Source organism: Homo sapiens, chromosome 6 (genome assembly GCF_000001405.40).
Source record: "Homo sapiens chromosome 6, GRCh38.p14 Primary Assembly".
In the NCBI taxonomy this organism is placed as follows: domain Eukaryota; kingdom Metazoa; phylum Chordata; class Mammalia; order Primates; family Hominidae; genus Homo; species Homo sapiens.
In genome coordinates, this window is record NC_000006.12 from 136,556,760 (window position 1) to 136,575,842 (window position 19,083).

The 19,083-nt window shown below is 39.7% G+C and overlaps 1 protein-coding gene across 8 annotated transcripts in view, besides 1 other annotated feature; it reads right to left on the reverse strand.

The window, feature by feature from the left end:
* The window catches only part of MAP3K5 (mitogen-activated protein kinase kinase kinase 5), a 236,046-nt gene continuing 217,249 nt past the window's right edge, over window positions 287-19,083 (reverse strand). For 7 of the 8 annotated variants that reach the window (XM_017010875.2, XM_047418784.1, NM_001438058.1 and 4 more), the window contains 5 exons: window positions 10,872-11,115; window positions 5,744-5,856; window positions 4,774-4,886; window positions 2,041-2,117; window positions 287-1,059 (listed from right to left, as the gene is read on the reverse strand). In XM_017010875.2, coding sequence (XP_016866364.1) covers window positions 999-1,059; window positions 2,041-2,117; window positions 4,774-4,886; window positions 5,744-5,856; window positions 10,872-11,115 — 608 coding nt within the window. In that variant the 3' untranslated portion in view covers window positions 287-998. The other variant, XM_011535839.4, reaches the window with a different exon arrangement.
* Window positions 12,578-12,778: a silencer, noted in NCBI's record as "peak6148 fragment used in MPRA reporter construct". NCBI's record gives its function as "represses an SCP1 promoter by STARR-seq MPRAs in K562 erythroleukemia cells {active_cell/tissue: K562}" and the evidence as "EXISTENCE:reporter gene assay evidence [ECO:0000049][PMID:32103011]".

Genomic DNA, 19,083 nt, shown 5'->3' on the forward strand with positions numbered 1-19,083 from the left:
TCTTGCCTCAGCCTCCCATGTAGCTAGGACCACAGGTGTACACCACCATGCCTAGCTGAATTTTTGAGTTTTTGTAGAGGTGGGGTCTCACTTTGTTGCCCAGGCTTACCCTCTTTCTTAAACCTCTGTTCCTCTGAGGAACAACCTGAATGTCAGTTGTCTGACTGCTTGAATAGAAGACAGATTTTACTTAATGTTACAGCTGGAGAAATGACTGGAAATTTAACACAGCAGATTATCTAGTTTGTCAACACAAAATAAAAATTCTTTAGAATTTATCAAAACAGTATGTTGAGAGTCTCTTTAATTTTTAGAGTAAATATGACACAATGGATAGCTTTAGAACAAGCTAACATTACTACAGTTCAAGCATGTGCAACTGGTACAGTTCAGTAGTACATAAACGACTCAAACAAATGTACGACAGGTCAGAAACTTAAGTTACAAAATAGAGTCAATATTACAATTAACACAGAGAAGTAAAAACCATTGCTCTCAGATTCTGCACACTTAAAAAAACATAAACTTTATACAGTAATTGAAATTACGCATTTCTACTCAGATTATTAGAGCATATTACAAACACACAGAAGCCTAAACAGTTATGGTCACATTTTGGTTTTGTTCCAGTGGTGCACGATCACATGAAATGTTACATCCGTTTTGTGTGAAATAAACATTTGGCTGAAGTGCAATAGCTGCTGCATTAAAAATATTTCCATAAAAATGCTTAGATTAAAATCTTCCTGAACATTAGGGTTCTAATGTTCAGGATTATTTTAAGAGTCCTTATGAAGAGTCCTTAAAAATTATAGAAATAGATGTAGTTAGGAAATTTCAGTGTGTTTTGTCTGTTTTTTTTTTTTTTAACATGAGTAAACAAATACTGGATTTAAAGTGCAGCGCCTTTCTCCTCTCCCTTCGATTTTCCCACCCCCAAGAAGATCAGCTCTGTATTAATTTTTAGAATTTCCATCGAAGATTAGATTGAGCAACAGTCAAGTCTGTTTGTTTCGAAAGTCAATGATAGCCTTCCACAGTGTGCACAGCATCCCTCCCCTGTTTAAAGACACAAGAACATGGTGAAACGAACATTTCATTTGAAACATTGCCCTTGAAATAGAAAAGTGACTTCTTAGCTTTCATCTGCTCTGGTCAGAAGAAGATCCCAAAGTCTGATCAGTTATTATGTATTCTTTTTGTATATTTTTTCTCATCTTCCCTCCATTCCTTCCCTTTTCACTCCCACAAACTGCTATGTCCCAAAACATCATTTTAGAGTTTCAGCATTTTTGAAATTTGTCTTTATAATGGTGGGTATAATAGTTTTATGCTTGGGCTGGGCGCGGTGGCGCATGCCTGTAATCCCAGCACTTTAGAAGGCCGAGGCAGGCAGATCACGTGGTCAGGAGATCGAGACCATCCTGGCTAACACAGTGAAACCCCGTCTCTACTAAAAATACAAAAAAATTAGCTGGGCGTGGTGGTGGGCGCCTATAGTCCCAGCTACTTGGGAGGCTGAGGCAGGAGAACGGCGTGAACCTGGGAGGCGGAGCTTGCAGTGAGCTGAGATCACGCCACTGCACTCCAGCCTGGGTGACAGAGTGAGACTCCATCCCGAAAAAAAAAAAAAAAGTTATATGCTTGGCCTTAATTAACAAGAAATTATATCAGATTATACCAGGTTTTTGGAGGGCAAGTCAGCACCTCCTCCAAATATTTATTGAGTATAACACCATCATGAACTCAATTAAAGCATTTGTTTAAGGCAGCTTCAGAATATCTGCATGGACTTAGTCTGCATCTTATTCAAAAAAATTCTTCCAGTTGATTTTCACTTACTAATATAGAAATATTGGTTATTAGAGCCCTCAAAAATATCATTGTCCAACTAACTCAGTTTACTCAGAGCAGCTAAGAGCTAGAGAGCTCTGTCCAGAACTACAAAGCTAATTAGAGACCCAGCCTGGGAAGATACTCAGACTTTTTGATATTTGCCTGGTGCTCTTTCCATAGTGACAACAGAAAGAAAAGTGGTACCTTAGTCTCAAGCATTTTAAGTCATCACGTGTAACATAGTAGAGAACATCCAATAGTGTATAATCTTCAGCCAAAAACTGTAGAGAAAGTAGAATATGCACAAAAGATGTTTTATATAACTTTAATAAAGCACAAACTCTATTCATAATGTAAACCTTGACTATAATTAAAAATGAATCTAAAAATGAAATCTACTAAAAACACAATCTTCCAGGATTATTAGGGGAAAGGCCTCCCTGTTACTCAATAAATACAAAGAAATGCATCCAGGCCGGGCGCAGTGGCTCACGCCTGTAACCCTAGCACTTTAGGAGGCTGAGGCAGGCGGATCATCTGAGGTCAGGAGTTCGAGACCAGCCTGGCCAAAGTGGTGAAACCCCATCTCTACTAAAAATACAAAAAATTAGCTGGGCGTGGTGGCGTATGCCTGTAATCCCAGCTACTTGGGAGGCTGAGGCAGGAGAATCGCTTGAACCCGGGAGGCAGAGGTTGCAGTGAGCTGAGATTGACCCACTGCACTCCAGCCTGGGCGACAGAGTGAGACTCCGTCTCAAAAAAACAAAAACAAAAACAAAAACAAAAACAAAAACAAGAAATGCATCCATATTAACTTCCAAATGCAAAAAGATTACAAGTGACACAGAACTTCTGAATGGTCTTCTAATGAACAGATGAGACTCACTTGTAATCACTCTGCTGTTCAAAAGCAAATCTTGTATTTAGAAGTTCAATGCTACATAGCTTTGTTTTTCCTCAAGTGGATAAAAAGTGTTCCTGGAAAGGTACTGCCTATGCTTAATTTCTGAACTTATTTTTTCATGGTTAAGCAAAGGCACTTGACTGTAATTCACCATAAAAGCAGAGTCTTAATTTAAACTGCACCTTTATATTTTTAAATTTTATTTATTTTTTTATATATAGAGACAGTCTCACTATATTGACCAGCCTAATCTCCAACACGTGGCCTCAAGCAATCTGCCTATGCTTCCCAAAGTATTGGGATTACAGGCAGGAGCCACTGCACCTGGCCTCAAGCTTTTACTTTTAAACCAAATAAAAAGGGTGATTATTTAGTAGATTATCAATTACTATTCCTTAATTAGGATTTGAGCCTAAGTTAGAGGAATGTATATTCTGGAGTTGTTTAAATTTATTCAGCTGTAACTTGTTAAATGTAGATTTCTAAGGCGGCCCGAAATTCTACTTAGTTAATAAATTATCAAGTCAAAAGAAGAGATATCTTTATTCTTATTTATTTTTAAAATTTAAATATAAAACAAAACAATATTGTATTAAGAGGGTCTTTCTATCAAATATTACAATGTTTTAATGTATGCCTGTGTGTTCATATAATGAACATAAACAAATGCTATTCACGCTCATTACAAAAGTCTATAGGGGCTGGGCGCAGTGGCTCACACTTGTAATCTCAGCACTTTGGGAGGCTGAGGTGGGCAGATCACTTGAGGCCAGGGTTCGAGACCACCCTGGCCAATATGGTGAAACCCTGTTTCTACTAAAAGTACAAAAATTAGCCAGGCTTAGTGGCATATGCCTGTAATCCCAGCTACTTGAGAGGCTGAGGCAGGGAATCTCTCGAGCCTGGCAGGCAAAGATTGCAGTGAGCTGAGATCGCACCACAGCATTGCAGCCTGGGCGACAGAGTGAGATTGTGTCTCAAAAAACAAAATCAAAAAAAGTCTATACAGAGCAGAGAGGAATTAGATTATTACAGGTAAAATATGGTTTGTATAGAAAATATTTCTGAAATAAGTCGACCAGATTGATTTTATTAAGTAGCAATAAAATAGCTGCTGCCCAGTGGAATCTAATAATGTTGAAAAAGAATTAAAAATTTAACAAACAGGCCTGGCGTGGTGGTTCATGCCTGTAGCCCCAGTACTCTGAGAGGCTGAGGTGAGAGAATCGCTTGGGGCCAGGAGTTTAAGACCAGCCTGGGCAACATAGCGAGACCCTATCTCTAAATTTTTTTTTTAATTAGCTGGGTATGATGGTTCATGTCTGTAGTCCCAACTATTCAGGAGGCTAAGGTGGGAGGATCACTTGAGCCCAGCAGGTCAAGGCTGCAGGGAGCTATGATCACTGCCCTCCAGCCAGGGTAACAGAGCGAGACCTTGTCTCCAAAAAAATATAAAATAAAATAAAATAAAATAAAATAAAATAAAATAAAATAAAAATTAACATACAAAGAATTAGAAACAAGAAATTTTTTCTTTTAGTCCTGTCTTTATTTTTTTCCCACTCTTTCTGGTTTTCATTTCAAATACATAAAATTCCTAAGGGGCTCAGGACCACAGAGCTTTTGCCTGCCTCGTTGGATTGTACACACTGCAGCCCCACTGCACAAGGTTCTTCCCTGGTCTCCCTCCCACACCCCTCCTGAACATACATACAATTGGCCTATTTATACCCTCACATTCTGTTAGCCTTCAGCTCTTTCATTCCCTTCTCCAACAACCTTCCCCAACCTCTCTCGCCCTATCTAATAAACACCTGATACCTTTTTCTTCATAGAATTTACCAGTGTAGAATCACATTTGTATCTGTGGAGTTAGCTGATTATCACGTGCCTACCCTGGTCTGTAAGCCTCAGGAGGGCAGGGCTGGGTCTGATTTGCTCACCAGTGTATCCCCTGTGCCTGTCACATAGCAGGCACCCAACATTATGAAACGAAGTGAAAGAATACTTGTCCCACAGACAGTTTTCTTTACCCGGCTTATAGTGTCTTCATCAGCTCCATTCACTCTCAGCCAGTCGGTAAGTTCAGAATCTTCAGTATTTGTGCCAGAAGAATTTAGATGAAATACAGGCAATTCAGGAATTTCTAGAACAGAATTTTGGGAAGATATTCTTAATTTCACCTAACAGAGGTCATCTGAGACCCTCACAATCAACAGACATTTATTGATACTTTAAAAGATTTTGCTCTATCAGAGAACAGTTCATAGAAACAATTGAGATTGGCAGTATAGATGATAATATGAATAAAACTCAGAGAAGTGAATTTACTAGTAAATAAGGAGCAAAAGCAATAATGAAATGACACTCCTACGTTACACTTTCATATCAATTTTATGGTTTCTTAGAATAAACTCTGTGCACCAAAATTAGACTTTGTGTTTTTCATGCAATAAAGATGAATACAATTAGCAGAGAACTATATAATTATCATAATCTCTTTTTCCACTATGAAAGAGCCACATATCTAAACAAATAACTATGAATTCTGTTTTCCTCTAAATGGGCTAAATAACATTCTCCCCAGCTATGCCTTTTTACTACTACATCTTTATTCTATTTAAGCCTCTTCAAATTATAAGGAAAAAGGCTAGAATACACAGAATATAAATGCAAAATGACAAAAAATAGTATTATTTATTCTAGTAAGCTCATTGTGAAATCTTTAAAAATAAAGACTAAAAACAGAGAGCCCTGTTTACCTCAGTAATACATAATCTCAGGAAAAGATGATTATGAATAATCTATTTTTACTGCACTTATAAGAAATGAGTTTGCTACAGTTAAAAACTGGATTTTTTTTTTTTAAAGGAATTCCTGCTTGCAGTCATGGTAGAAGTGAGAAATGCTGACTTAGCCACAAATAAAACTTCCTGTTGGCTTTCTTGGCTTTTTGTGGCAGCCTGGCTGAACAGTATTACTATAAAACTTTCTGCTATTCACCTATGGGTTGGGACTTAAGCTTCAGGTGTTTAATTTCTTGGTCTTTTTCTTCAATAGCTCGATGAAGGAGTGCTTGTAATTCTTTCTCTTTCCGAACCAATTCTTCCAGTAATCTGCAGAAGAAAAATATATTGTTTGACAGGAGGTGACACAGGGTGACCTTCTTTTTTTTATTTTTATTTTTTTAGATACAAGGTCTCTCTCTGTTGCCTAGGCTGAGTGTAGTGGCCCAATTATAGCTCACTGCATCCTTAAACTCTTGGACTCAAGCGATCCTCCCATCTCAGTTTTCCAAGCAGCTGGGAATACAGACATGCACCACCATGCCTGGCTAATTTTTTTTTTTTTTTTTTTTGTAGAGACAGAGTCTTGCTATGTTGTCCAAGCTGGTCTCTGAACTCCTGGCCTCCAGTGGTCTTTCCACCTCAGCCTCTCAAAGCTCTGGGATTATAGGTGTGTGCATGTGCCACTGTGCCAGGCCTAGGATGACCTTCTAGACATGAGCTATAATAAGCACATACACCCCTAATTTTATTGAAATACAGATACTGGTCCAGTGCCCCGGGGGTGAGTTCTGAGACTGTATTTATAATGAGCTCCCAGATGACACTGATGTTGCAGGTTCACAGACCCTCAGGTCCAGAAGCTAAGCTTTGGAAGACTGTGCTTGCCGACAAGAATTCAAAACCTCCACCACAGATTGTCTGCCAAAATCTTCAGAGATGTGTCCTGATATTTCTTGTTATGACCATAAATGTCAAAGATATAAATATGGGATACAGATATTAACAGGCCTATATTTTACATGTATGGACCCCCATTAAAAAAAGTTGGCAAATGTGCATAATTTCATAATCAATGCAAATCAGAAAAGTAATCACTTTTTGTAAACTATGAAAATTTGAGAAACAGTCATAGGTGAGGTCGCCTAGAATATCTGGCATATAACAAATTCTCAGTAAATGTTCACGGTTGTTGCTACAATTGTGATTGTTACTATTATTCCTCTTCCTTCTAAGGGGGCGGGGGTGAAGTGGGTAAAAGGATAGCTGTGTTCCTGGTACATTCAGTTCCTAGTTGGCATCTGATGCAGTCTCCAAAGAAACAAGGAGAAACTGTGATATTCATACCAAAGTTCTTACCCATAGAAGGTTCACTATGCAACTGAGAGCCAACTGGTAACCTACTCACCATTTCCAATAGAATTTCTCAAAGAAAACATTCCAAGTTATGAAAAGAGGTGCTCTAATTTTTTAGAAAAGTATCTTAATGTAAGTTGGATTCAGAAATAATAATTTAAAATATATCGTTATTAAGATTATCAGGATAAATCGTTGCATAAACTACAGCTCTTAACAAACTCTATTTGTTTCATTTTCTGAGTATTGATAGATTTAACTCAAGAGTTTGTTTCTGCTTCACTTGACATAATCTGAAGGCAGCATCGTGCAACTGACAGATCTGGGCTTGTGTCCTGGTTCAACCCTGCACTTCCTGTGTTAACCTTAGATAAATTACCTAATGCCTCCAGGCTTCAGTTTTCAAATCATTTGTAAAAAAGAAAACTAAAGCTTCCAGAAAAGATTATTGTGAGCATTAAATGAGACAGCATAGGTACAGTGCCAAGTCAGTGTCTGGTCTTTAATAAGGGATGTTCTGTTCCTTGCTACCTCAGTCCCTGGAAAAGAGCCTTTCCAGGACTCAGTGGGAAGGAAACCTTCCCAGACCCCCAGGCTCGACCCCATTCCCACAGGACATAAAGATGAGATCCTCAGAGAGAAGGGATCACAGCAGAGTAGGTAGCAGAGGTGGGACAAAAGTAAAACACAATAAGAGGTAGACAGAGAAGGTGGGTGGAGGAAAATAAGTTAACAAAGACAGCTGCAGGGTAAGTGTGGTGCACAATGAGGTGGATGAAGCAGCATGAACTGAAAGCTAGAAGAGGGAGCACAGGGTCTTGGAGGGAGGCTTCTTATCTCTTTCAAAACAAATATTATCCAAAGAAATGGGCAGGAAGCTCTGTGTGAATGTTTAAGTTGGCAGTTTTTTGATCTGGTATGTATTTTTGTCCTACTTGCTAATTTATACGTATAAGACAGTGATGGTATCTTCTTACTGTTTTCTCAAGGAACACAGTGATGTTTTCTAGAGTTTAACCTATGTTTGTCTAGACTATGTAATTTCTTTTTATCTTTTGTTAAAGTGAATGAAATATGGCCTGAGAAGGACTCCGTACTTGCATATTTGAGTCCTCGTGGACAAACTATAACTTAACAGGTAGACAAGATTGAAAACCTAACTTAGGAGTATGCGTCTATAACAATAGCTGAGTCTTGGCTAATCCCAGGAGCCATACTTCAACCACTCATACACTGCTGAGTGTTCAAATAAGGTGAACGCCAACCCATAACAAATCCAGCTCTTTCTGCACACTTCTGATTTCTGTACGTCACTTTACTTTTATTTTCTATAAATTTGTTCTGGCCACGAGGCATCCCTGGAATCTCTCTGAATCTGCTGTGATTCTAGAGGCCACCTGATTCACAAACTATTTTTTTCTTTTTCAATTAAACTCCATTAAATTTAATTTGTCTGAAGCTTTCTTTTAACACCTTAAACACCAGAACTTCAACACTGGAAGCAGAGTATTGACAGCCCACCTCATTTGCTCCGAATCCAGCTCTTAGAAGTATTTATCTTAAGAACAATCCAGTACATCAATTTTATTTTTATTTTGTGTTTATTTAGCAGGGCAATATTTTGAAATCAAGGCAACTGTCTGCCTTTCTGTTCCAAAAAAGTATGGCAGGATCTGCCATGAGGTCAATTTTTAACCTTGGATGGGCAGGGGTGATGAGGTGGATTGGTGGGTAATTCCAGAACTGTAGGATGGGGAAATTAAATAAACAGGCAGCTCCTCTTGAGACAGGTTTTTGTTTTTGTTTTTGAGATAGGGTCTTGCTCTGTCACCCAGGCTGGAGTGCAATGGTGCAATCATGGCTCACTGTAGCCTCAACCTCTTGGGCTCAGGTGATCCTCCAAGCAGGATAAACCTGATTTCCCTTCATCAGTGATCATCCTAAATATTCTAAGCTTACAATTTTTAATATGAGAGCTACAACCTTTCCTGAAAACACACTAACATTTCCTCTAGATTCATTTTGCGGTAGGTATGCCTTTATATTTCAGGTAATATTCAACTGAAAATTAGAAGGACCAATATGGACAGGACTGGTCCCTTATTTCAATTACTTGGTTTTTGTACTAAAGCAGCTGTCCTTTCTTCAAATCATGCATGAAGCAAACATCGTCCCTCATCTCACTTTTCTGTGGGTGATGGAAAGCCGTGGGAGATATTACTGAAAAAGGAAAAACGAGGCTGATTATCTGTAGATTTCACAGACTCAAATGTAAATATGCAGAGGAAAAAGCGTAAATGTGTGGGTTGTTGTGACATACTAATGTAATAAAGAAATGTGGGTAAATACTAGTCTTTTCAACAGAGATGGGCAGATGTGAGAAGCAGGCCCTCAGCTAGAACCAAGAGACACTCAGAAGAGAAAGGGGAAGCTGTGAAGAAAGCGGCCGGAAGCCCTCAGGGACTGCAGATGGCCCAAGCATGGTAGACAGACAGTGGCGCCAGGGTGGCGAGCACAACGCTAACCAAATAGGCCAAGGAGAGAAGGAAAAGGACTTGTGTCTAGGCTGCATTAGGAGAGGCAGGTCCTATTGACACAGCCAGGTGTGTAGACAGGAGGTTTCAGGGCCAGAAAAGCAGATATACCAGCTCTTTGGTAAACAAAGTAGTTTTACTATCTGCGTAATTCTAACCAGAAGGCATGGGTGGGAGGAGGTCAACCAAAACAGTAATGAGTGAACTTTCCTCCTCCAGAGATCACAGCAGGAGTCCAAAAAACACCACCACTCAGGACTGGGCAACAGAGAGTAACCTAGAGATAAGTGACTAACATGGACACCTTCCATAACGATGGGGTGTTATCCTTGGACTCTTGCTTGAGAAGAGGAGGAATGAGGGAAACCAAGATTTCCATGAAGTCTCAGAAGAGAAAAGACCCAAGTTCTTTCCCACTAAATAGTAGAGATGGCAAGAGCTGGGTTTCAGAGGACAAAATTGGGATATGAAAGTCAGAGAGGCAATCTCCCTTTATTAAAATAAGACTGCTCTATGCACATCATAGAAGATGTGTCTATATGGATTTACTTAACAATGCAACCAAATTTCATGTTTCTGAATATAGGATGAGCTTTTACCACTTGTACTCATTTTGGTATACAAGCTTGCCTTTAAAAACCTAAACTTTATGACTGGAAATAAGATATTTTTAATCTCCCTGGTGAATAACTAGCATTTTCAATTAAGGTTTCTAAATATTTGAACAACTTTTATTGATTCGCTTAAAAAAAAGTTTTTAATGCAAACCCAGAGTCATAAAGTCAGTTTCCCACATGTCAACTGTAGGCAGCACAGGAAGCTATAAATCATAAAAATTCAGACCTTGAACTGTACCAACAACATCTGCAAAGAACAGGAAACATTTGCTGTTAATAATCTGATCCTGTGGGTTCTATGCTAGCAAATTATCAAAGGCAAATTATACTCCAGATATGTTACAGCATATCAAAAATAAAATAGAATCATAAATGTGGTCAATTATCTTCCTTTTTAGGTTCTAAAATACAAATCTTTAGCACCATTAATTAGTTTTGTTCCCTCGACCTCAGTGATCTTCCTCTCCTATAAAGACTTGACTGGGCTTTCAAAAACATGAGCTTTCTGTTCTTTTCAGCTATCTACTGGAAGGTACATGCTGCTCTGAGCCTGTTTCTTAGACAGTCTATGAGGCTACAACGAAGCTATTGGAAAAATCTTAGGGCACCTGGAGATGAAGAAGTAATCAAATGCCGCTGAAAAAGGCTTAAACTGGTAGAGGCAGAAAGTGGTATTTGACAAAAGAGGCTAAACTAAACTTCTCTTGTTTTATAAAGAAAGGCATTCAATCAAGTTTCCATGAATGGGATAAGGGAATCATATTCTGTAGACCAAAAACACATGCTCTTTAGTAAAAGTAAAAGAAAAGAAACCAACCCACGTCAGTGTAGGACTTACCTATTGGTTTCTATTTTCATCCTTCCAAGCTGTACATTCAGTGACCGGTGAGCACTCTGGGAATCATGAGACACAGTAGAACTGAGCGTGCTCACGCCTGAGGTAGCCACAGCATCTTCAATGACAGCCTGAGGTCTTCGGACAGTTTGATTTGAAGGCTGTTCCTCATGGTCATCTTCTACATCCAAGTCTTCTTGATCAGCAGTATCACTCTCAGATGCAAGGCTGAAATGTGGCCTTAGTTCTGTTTGGCATAATATCAGTGGTAGTGTTTATAAAATATGACTCATTGCCTTAATTTCTTAAGATATGAATGCTACCCTCCTGCCCCACCGTCAATAAGATATATATTCCAAACTGCTTTTCCAAAAGTGAGGATGGATTTCTGTAGACTCAGATTTGTTCTTCTATTGAACTTGCAAAATTCACAAGATATGATCTAATTCAAACAGAAGGAAAGAATGATCTAATTCAAACAGAATGATTTAATTCAAGAATGATCAATACATAGTCACATTGCACATATGTGGGGAAAATGCTAGGAATCTGAAAGAAAGGTAAAGATGTAAAAACCTTTTAAGAATATTTAAAAGTGTTTATACAAGTAAAGTTCATTTTCAGATTACATAATATCTGACAACTATTAACTTGCTTACAGATAAGGAAAGTGAGCTATACAGAGATTATATAAACACACGTGAATATGCAGAATGCTTTCTGCCTGTAACATCCAAAATGTAAGGGGATACAGGGCAGGTGCTGAAAATGCCACACGCAGGCTGATACTCACATTAGTAAGACTATCTCTCTTTGACTATTGGGCCGATTTCTAGTGTGTGTTCTCCTCTAACCTGTTGACTAACCATTGAAATTTAAACCATAGAAGTTACAATTTTCCAACTTAAACATACTATATAACATGAGATCACCTGCATGTCAGTTTAGAACTTGGATGATATTGTGGCTGGGCACAGTGGCTCACGCCTGTAATCCCAGCACTTTGGGAGGCCAAGGCAGGCATATCATGAGGTCAGGAGTTTGAGACCAGCCTGGCCAACATAGTGAAACCCCATCTCTACTAAAAATACAAAAATTAGCCGGACATGGTGGCACGCTACTTGGGAGGCTGAGGTAGGAGAATCACTTGAACCCAGGAGGCAGAGGTTGTGGTGAGCCGAGATCATGCCACTGTACTCCAACCTGGGCAACAGAGCAAGAGTCTGTCTCAAAAAAAAAAAAAAAAAAAAAAAACTTGGATGATATTGTAAACCAAAAATAAAATTCTAAGCCCCCCAACTGACTGAAGAACCACCTACCCCCAGGCCAAGGGGATCCCCAAAAAAACCTGAAAAAACTAGTTCAGGCCATTATGGGAAGAAAGGTCAGATATTCCTGGTTATACCTCCTCCCTTTGGAGTTTAGGCACAACTGACCAGCATTACCATTAAAATAAAGATCATAAGGCTGACAAAACAGACTCTTTGTAGCAATAAGATAACAAATTCCAACCTGACTCTAGTATAGCATCCCATGACAAACAACAGGCCATAAAGGAAGTCAAAGTATTTTGCCCCAAAATATATTTCTCTGACATATTTTGGAACGGTCCTGCAAAGTCATCACTTGTGGGGGAAATCTGCATTCTGTAGAGAATCCCCTTCCCTTTCCAGGTCTTTTCCTGATCCATGAGAGATTCAACTAAGAGTCTCACACTTTTTAAGGTCCAATAAGAGATTTTACCATCTATTCTCTCTGTAGCTTGTTACTTAGGGGCTTCATCTACATAATAAGAACCTTGGCTTCCACAATAGCCCTTATCTTAACTCAAGCATTTCTTTATGCTGACTTCAACTCTTCAGTCAAAGCTTAACTCTTTCAACCAATTGCCAATCTTTGAATCTACCTATGACCTGGGACCCCAACCACTTCCCCACCTCCCAATCCCTGCCAGATGTCCTGCCTTGCTGGGCTGAACATCTACCTTACATATATTGCTTTATGTCTTTGCCTGTAACTTCTGTCTCCCTAGAAGTATACAACCAAGCTATACCCCAACTGCCCTGGGTACATGTTTTCAGGACCTCCGGAAGCTCTGTCACAGGTCATAGTCACTCATATTTGGCTCAGAATAAACTTCTAAATATTTTACAGAGTTTGGCTATTTTTTGTCAACAATATCTTCCCATAAGAAAAAATATTACAAATTGTAATTAAATCCTTAAACTTGGTCCACAAAAAGGAATTACAGTCATAATTTAAGTGAAATCAAGGTAGCAGAAATATTGAATTTTCACTCCATATGCTTCGGCACATAGAACATTTATCGGATCATGGAACCTACTAAAAATCTGATGAAAGTCATAAAAACTCTCCCCAGAAGAAAACACATACATGCAACATTTTGCCTAGATTTCCTCGTTTTACCTAGATTTTGCTATATTTGCACAGATTCCCTGAAGCCTCTCCCGAGTCCATGAACCACAGGTTAAGAGCCCGTGTGTACAGGAGGGGAGTCCATTGGGAGCAATGGAGGACCCCATCCCACCATTCGTATATGGGCACTTTGGCAAGGTCACCAAAGGCCTGCCAGCCAAATCCTCTAGGTACCTTTTTATATTTACCCTATTTGATCTGTGGACAGTATTTTCCTCTAAATCTCTGGCTGCTATTTCTCTTCTTCAGAGCCTTTTTATCTACTAACTGCCCACTTTTAAGCTGGAACCTGGGATTCTATCCTTCACTTTTTTATGTTTCTACTTTTGCTCCATAGATGAGCTCATTCAACTCCACGAAGGTTAAGTATTTCAGATGTGTGGATGACAAACTCTACACCTCTAGTCCCGGTCCTGTAACATCTAGAACATCCTGGACATTACTGTTCGGTAGGCACCTTAAAGTCAACAATCTAAAGAGAACTCATCATCTTTTGATCATAACAAAAACCAGAGTGTCCTTTTTCAAGGCCCAGTTTACATAGACCTGGCTTTCTTTATCCCTCTTTTAAAATTCTGTATAGTGGTTTTAAAAAGTGCATAACAGAAAATTTACCATCTTAACCATTTCTGAGTACACAGTTCAGTAGTGTTAAGTATACTAACAGTGTTATGCTACCAATCTCCAGAATATTTTCATTTTGCAAAACTCAAACTCTGCCCATCAACAACTCCCCATTACTCCCTCTTCTCAGTTTCTGGAAACTACCGTTCTACTTTCTGTTTCTATGAATTTGACTACTCTAGACACCTCACGTTTATAGTTACAGGAGACAGATAAATTCCTAGGCAGACAGGGATTGATCTCCAGTGAAACCTGACCTTCAAACCAAGGACAGTTTAAAGCCTGAGAAGCAAGCTGCCAATTCTGGAGAGAGTCCACAACCAGAGTGAGAACATCTATCCCCATTTTACCCACTCTCTCTCAATTGGTTCCTTCTGAATGATGTCTTTTAACCAATCAAATGGTGCTTTTTCCAAGACCTCCCATGGACCAATCAGCATGCACCCCCCTATTCTAAGCCCATAAAAACCCCAGACTCAGCATCACAGATGGCTACCCAATTTCAAGTCCCCTCTCAATGCTGAGAACTTTCTTTCTGTCACTCAATTAGATTCTACTCTGCTTTACTCACTCTCCAATGTCCGTGTACCTTATTCTTCTTGGTCACGGGACAAGAACCCAGAACTCACTGAACTGTGGGAGTGAAAGGGATGTAGCACTCCTGCTCGCCAAGCTGTCAGCGGCAGGAGTAATACAGCTGTAACACTCCCTCCCACTTGTCGAACAATGGGAGAGAATAAGCCACTGGGTGCCACTCCCTCCCACTTGCTGAACTACAGGAGTGAAAAAACCATAAAATTATGGAATCATATACTATTTGTCTTTTTGTGACTGGCTTATTTTACTTAGCATAATGCCCTCAAAGTTCATCCATGTTGTAGCATGGGTCAGAATTTCCTTCCTTTCTAAGGCTGAATAATATTCCATTATATGTATACACCACATTTTGTTTATCCATTCATCTGTTGCTAGATACTTGGGTTGCTTCCACCTCTTGGCAATTGTAACTAGTACTGCTATGAATATGAATGTGCAAATGTCTCTTTGAAATCCTTCTTTTAGTTTTTTTGAATATACACCCAGAAGAGAAATTGCTGGTTCACAAGGGTGCTTTCTTCTATCTTTAATTTCTGAGGAGCCATCATACTGTTTTCCATAGTAGCAGTACCATTTTACATTCCCAACAACAGTGTACAAGGATTCCAATTTCTCCATGTCCTCATGCTTTATCTCTTAAGGCTAACCAAACTTCACCTCTACTCTATCTCATCTCTTATTCCAAAATCCCATTTCTTAATTTATTGATAGTACGGTAGGAGTAAGTCAAAATCATGTGTTTTACTTTTGTAAACCCAGCGCTGATTGCAGGGGCTAAACGTATTAGGTCTTCAAAAACTGTTGGCAGAATGGAAGAGTATTCCTACTAGGGTTATTTGGTTATTTGTATTTAGAAAGCAATAAAATAACTTAAAAATAATTTAAGAAAGTGTGATTCTAGATTAAATTAGAGGACAAGATTAGACCTTTTACAACTTTCTATAATTATTCTTCAATTTATTTCATGATTTCTAAACTGATTTTTTTTTTTAAGACGGGGTTTTGCTCTTGTTGCCCAGGCTGGAGTGCAATGGCACGATCTTGGCTCACTGCAACCTCCACCTCCTGGGTTCAAGTGATTCTCCTGCCTCAGCCTTCCGAGTAGCTGGGATTACAGGCATGTGCCACCATGCCTGGCTAATTTTGTATTTTTGTAGAGATGGGGTTTCTCCATATTGGTCAGGCTGGTCTCAAACTCCTGACCTCAGGTGATCTGCCCGCCTCGGCCTCCCAAAGTGCTGGGATTACAGGCGTGAGCCACCATGCCCAGCCCTAAACTGAAAGGTTTGTAGTCCTGTTGACTATAATCTCACTTTTAGGGAAGGAAAATTTATAATCCTATTATATTTAAATATCCTCTTAATTCTGTAAACTTTAAATTATCATTTTACGTATGTATATATGACGTAAAAAATTCTCTGAATTAATTTAAAGAAAGTAGAAACTTGTAAGTTCATGCAGTGCTTTGTTATTTTGGTCTTTCATGGTGGTTCCCTGAGTGCATGTCATCAGATTAAACATTGTAAAATATGCAAATGACACAGAACATCTGGTTCTTTTTCTCAAAGAGATGACAATCTAAAGGAGAACTAGGGCAAATACACAGAAGAGCGCTGAGAGCACATTGAAATATAACATGAAATTATAAGCACAAATTAATACAGCTACAAATATCTCAGATTATCTCAGGTATAGACCTAGTTATATATATAATTCACATGTACACTGAGATGGTTAATTATATATGTCAACTTGACTGGGCTAAGGATGGCCAGATAGCTGGTAAAACATTATTTTGGATGTGTCTGTGAGGGGTGAGGGTGTTTCCAGAAGAGATTAGCATTTGAATCAATGCACTTAATAAAGAAGATGGCCCTCTCCAATGTGGGCAGGCATCATCCAGTCCACTGAGGACCTGAATAGAACAAAAAGATGGAGAAAGGGTGAATTCTCTTTCTCTCTTCTTGAGCTGGGACATCCACCTTCTCCCGCTCTTGGATATCAGAGCTCTTGGTTCTCAGACCTTCAATTTCAGTTGGCTCCCCTGGTTCTCAGGCCTTTGGAGTCAGACTGATTATACCACCAGCTTTCTTGGTTCTCCAGTTTACTGATGTTATATGGTAGAACTTCTCAGCCTCCATAATCACATGAGCCAATTCCCATTATAAATCTTCTCTTATATATCTCTATGTATCCTATTGGTTCTGTTTCTTTGAAGAACCCTAACACATACATGTAGTAAGAGTGCTAAGGGGTAAATAAAGTACATTTGCAGTGACTGAATCCAGTGGTAGTTTACTCACTCACTAAGGGATTCATGGAGGCTGAAGGGCCTATGCAGAGTTCTGGGGGAGGGGAGCCTTGGCTTGATAGAGAAAGAGGGAAGTGTATTTGAAAGAATGAAGCTCAAACGATGGCCCAGGACCCTCTGAGAACAATGTAAAGCAGAGGGGACTGTCAGGAGACAGCCATGTGTCAGGAGAAAGACTGGGACTCAAGGGGGCCTTAAAGCCCATGAGTGGAAAAGTGGAGCCAGTGCATTGTTTCCAAACCAGCAAGATGGGATCAACAACAAAACTATTCCCACCCAAATGGTTACTTCCCCAGAGGAAGGAAAATAACTAGACCAAGTTTCTTTTTCTTTTCTTTCTTTTTTTTTTTTTTGAGACAGAGTCTCACTCTGTCACCCAGGCTGGAGTGCAGTGGCATGATCTTGGCTCACTGCAACCTCCGCCTCCCAGGTTCAAGTGATTCTTCTGCTTCGGCCTCCTGAGTAGTTAGGATTATAGGCATGCGCCATCATACCTGGCTAATATTTGTATTTTTAGTAGAGATGGGGTTTCACCATGTTGGCCAGGCTGGTCTCAAATTCCTGGCCTCATGTGATCTGCCTGCCTTGGCCTCCCAAAGTGCTGAGATTATAGGCATGAGCCACCACGCTTGGCCTAGACCAAGCTTCTTTAACACAGAGTATTTCTAATGCTTAGTAAGATCATAATACTTGTGAGTGCAGTGTATAACACTTGCATGAAGCTCCTCGTACGTACACAATGCTGTTCAATTCACATTAATGTGAACTTGGAGCACATGCTTGATTCAGTTAACAACTAGTGGTAATATCAAGTGCTTGAAGCAGCTGTTAACAATTATTGTTGATAGAGGAAGTATGCTTACATTATCAATACTCTTACCTTAGCACGGCCATCATAGTCTCTGTGCTCAGCATTACTCCATCTGGTCACCCACAAGCAGACTGTACTAGAGGACTAATGCTGCCAATAATCTAAAGGCTGATTCTTGATGACAAGTGAGAAAATAGTCTGAGAAAAAACAAATTCTTAAGGGACTTGTACTGTACTCTCTGTTCTGTGTGCTCCTTTTGGAAAAAAGATTAAACACTTTTTTTTTTTTTTTTTTTTTTTGAGAAGGAGTCTCGCTCTTTCACCCAGGCTGGAGTGCAGTGGCACGATCTCGGCTCACTGCAGGCTCCACCCCCTGGGGTTCATGCCATTCTCCTGCCTCAGCCTCCCACGTAGCTGGGACTACAGGCGCCCGCTACCTCGCCCGGCTAATTTTTTGTATCTTTAGTAGAGATGGGGTTTCACTGTGTTAGCCAGGATGGTCTTGATCTCCTGACCTCGTGATCCGCCCGCCTCGGCCTCCCAAAGTGCTGGGATTATAGGCGTGAGCCACCGCGCCCGGCCTAAACACTTTTTTTTTAACTTTTTATTTTGAAATAATTTTAGGATAACAGAGAAGTTGCAAAAATAGTGCAGAGAGTTCCTGTATAGCCTTCAGCCACTTGCTCTTGCCTTAACAGTTTATATACCTTTGGCACTATTATCAAAACCAGGAAATTAACATTGATACAATACTATTTTTTTTTTTTTTTTTTGAGACAGGGTCTCACTCTGTCCCCCAGGCCAGAGTGCAGTGGTGCAATCTCAGCTCACTGTGGCCTTGACCTCCTGGGCTCAATTGATCCTCTCACCTCAGCCTCCCTAGTAGCCAGGACCACAGGCACATGCTGCCATGCCTGACTTATTTTTGTATTTTTCATGTAGAGATGCGGTTTTGCCACACTGCCTGGGGTGATCTCAAACTCCTAGGCTCAAGCAATCCTCCCACCTCAGCCTCCCAAAGTGCTGGTATTATAGATGTGAGTCACCACACCTGACTTTGACACAATACTATTAACTAATCTATGGACATTATTTGAATTTCACCAGTTTTCCTACCAATGTCCTTTTTCTGATCAAGGATCCCTCATTATAATTAGTTGTCATGTCGCCTTAGTCTCTTCCAGTATGTAACTAGTATTTCTTTATTTCTCACGACCTTCACCCTTTTGAGGAGTATTGGTCAGGTTTTTGTACAATGTCTTTTATTTGAGGTTCACTGACGTCTTCTTGTGATTAGGTTGAGGTTGTGCATTTTTGGCAAGAACACCACAGTGTGATGCTGTGTCCTTCTCAGGGCATCCTATCAGGAGGTACATGATGCTGATGTGTCTTCTTACTAGTGATGCTTACCTTGATCATTTGGTTGAGGGGGTGTC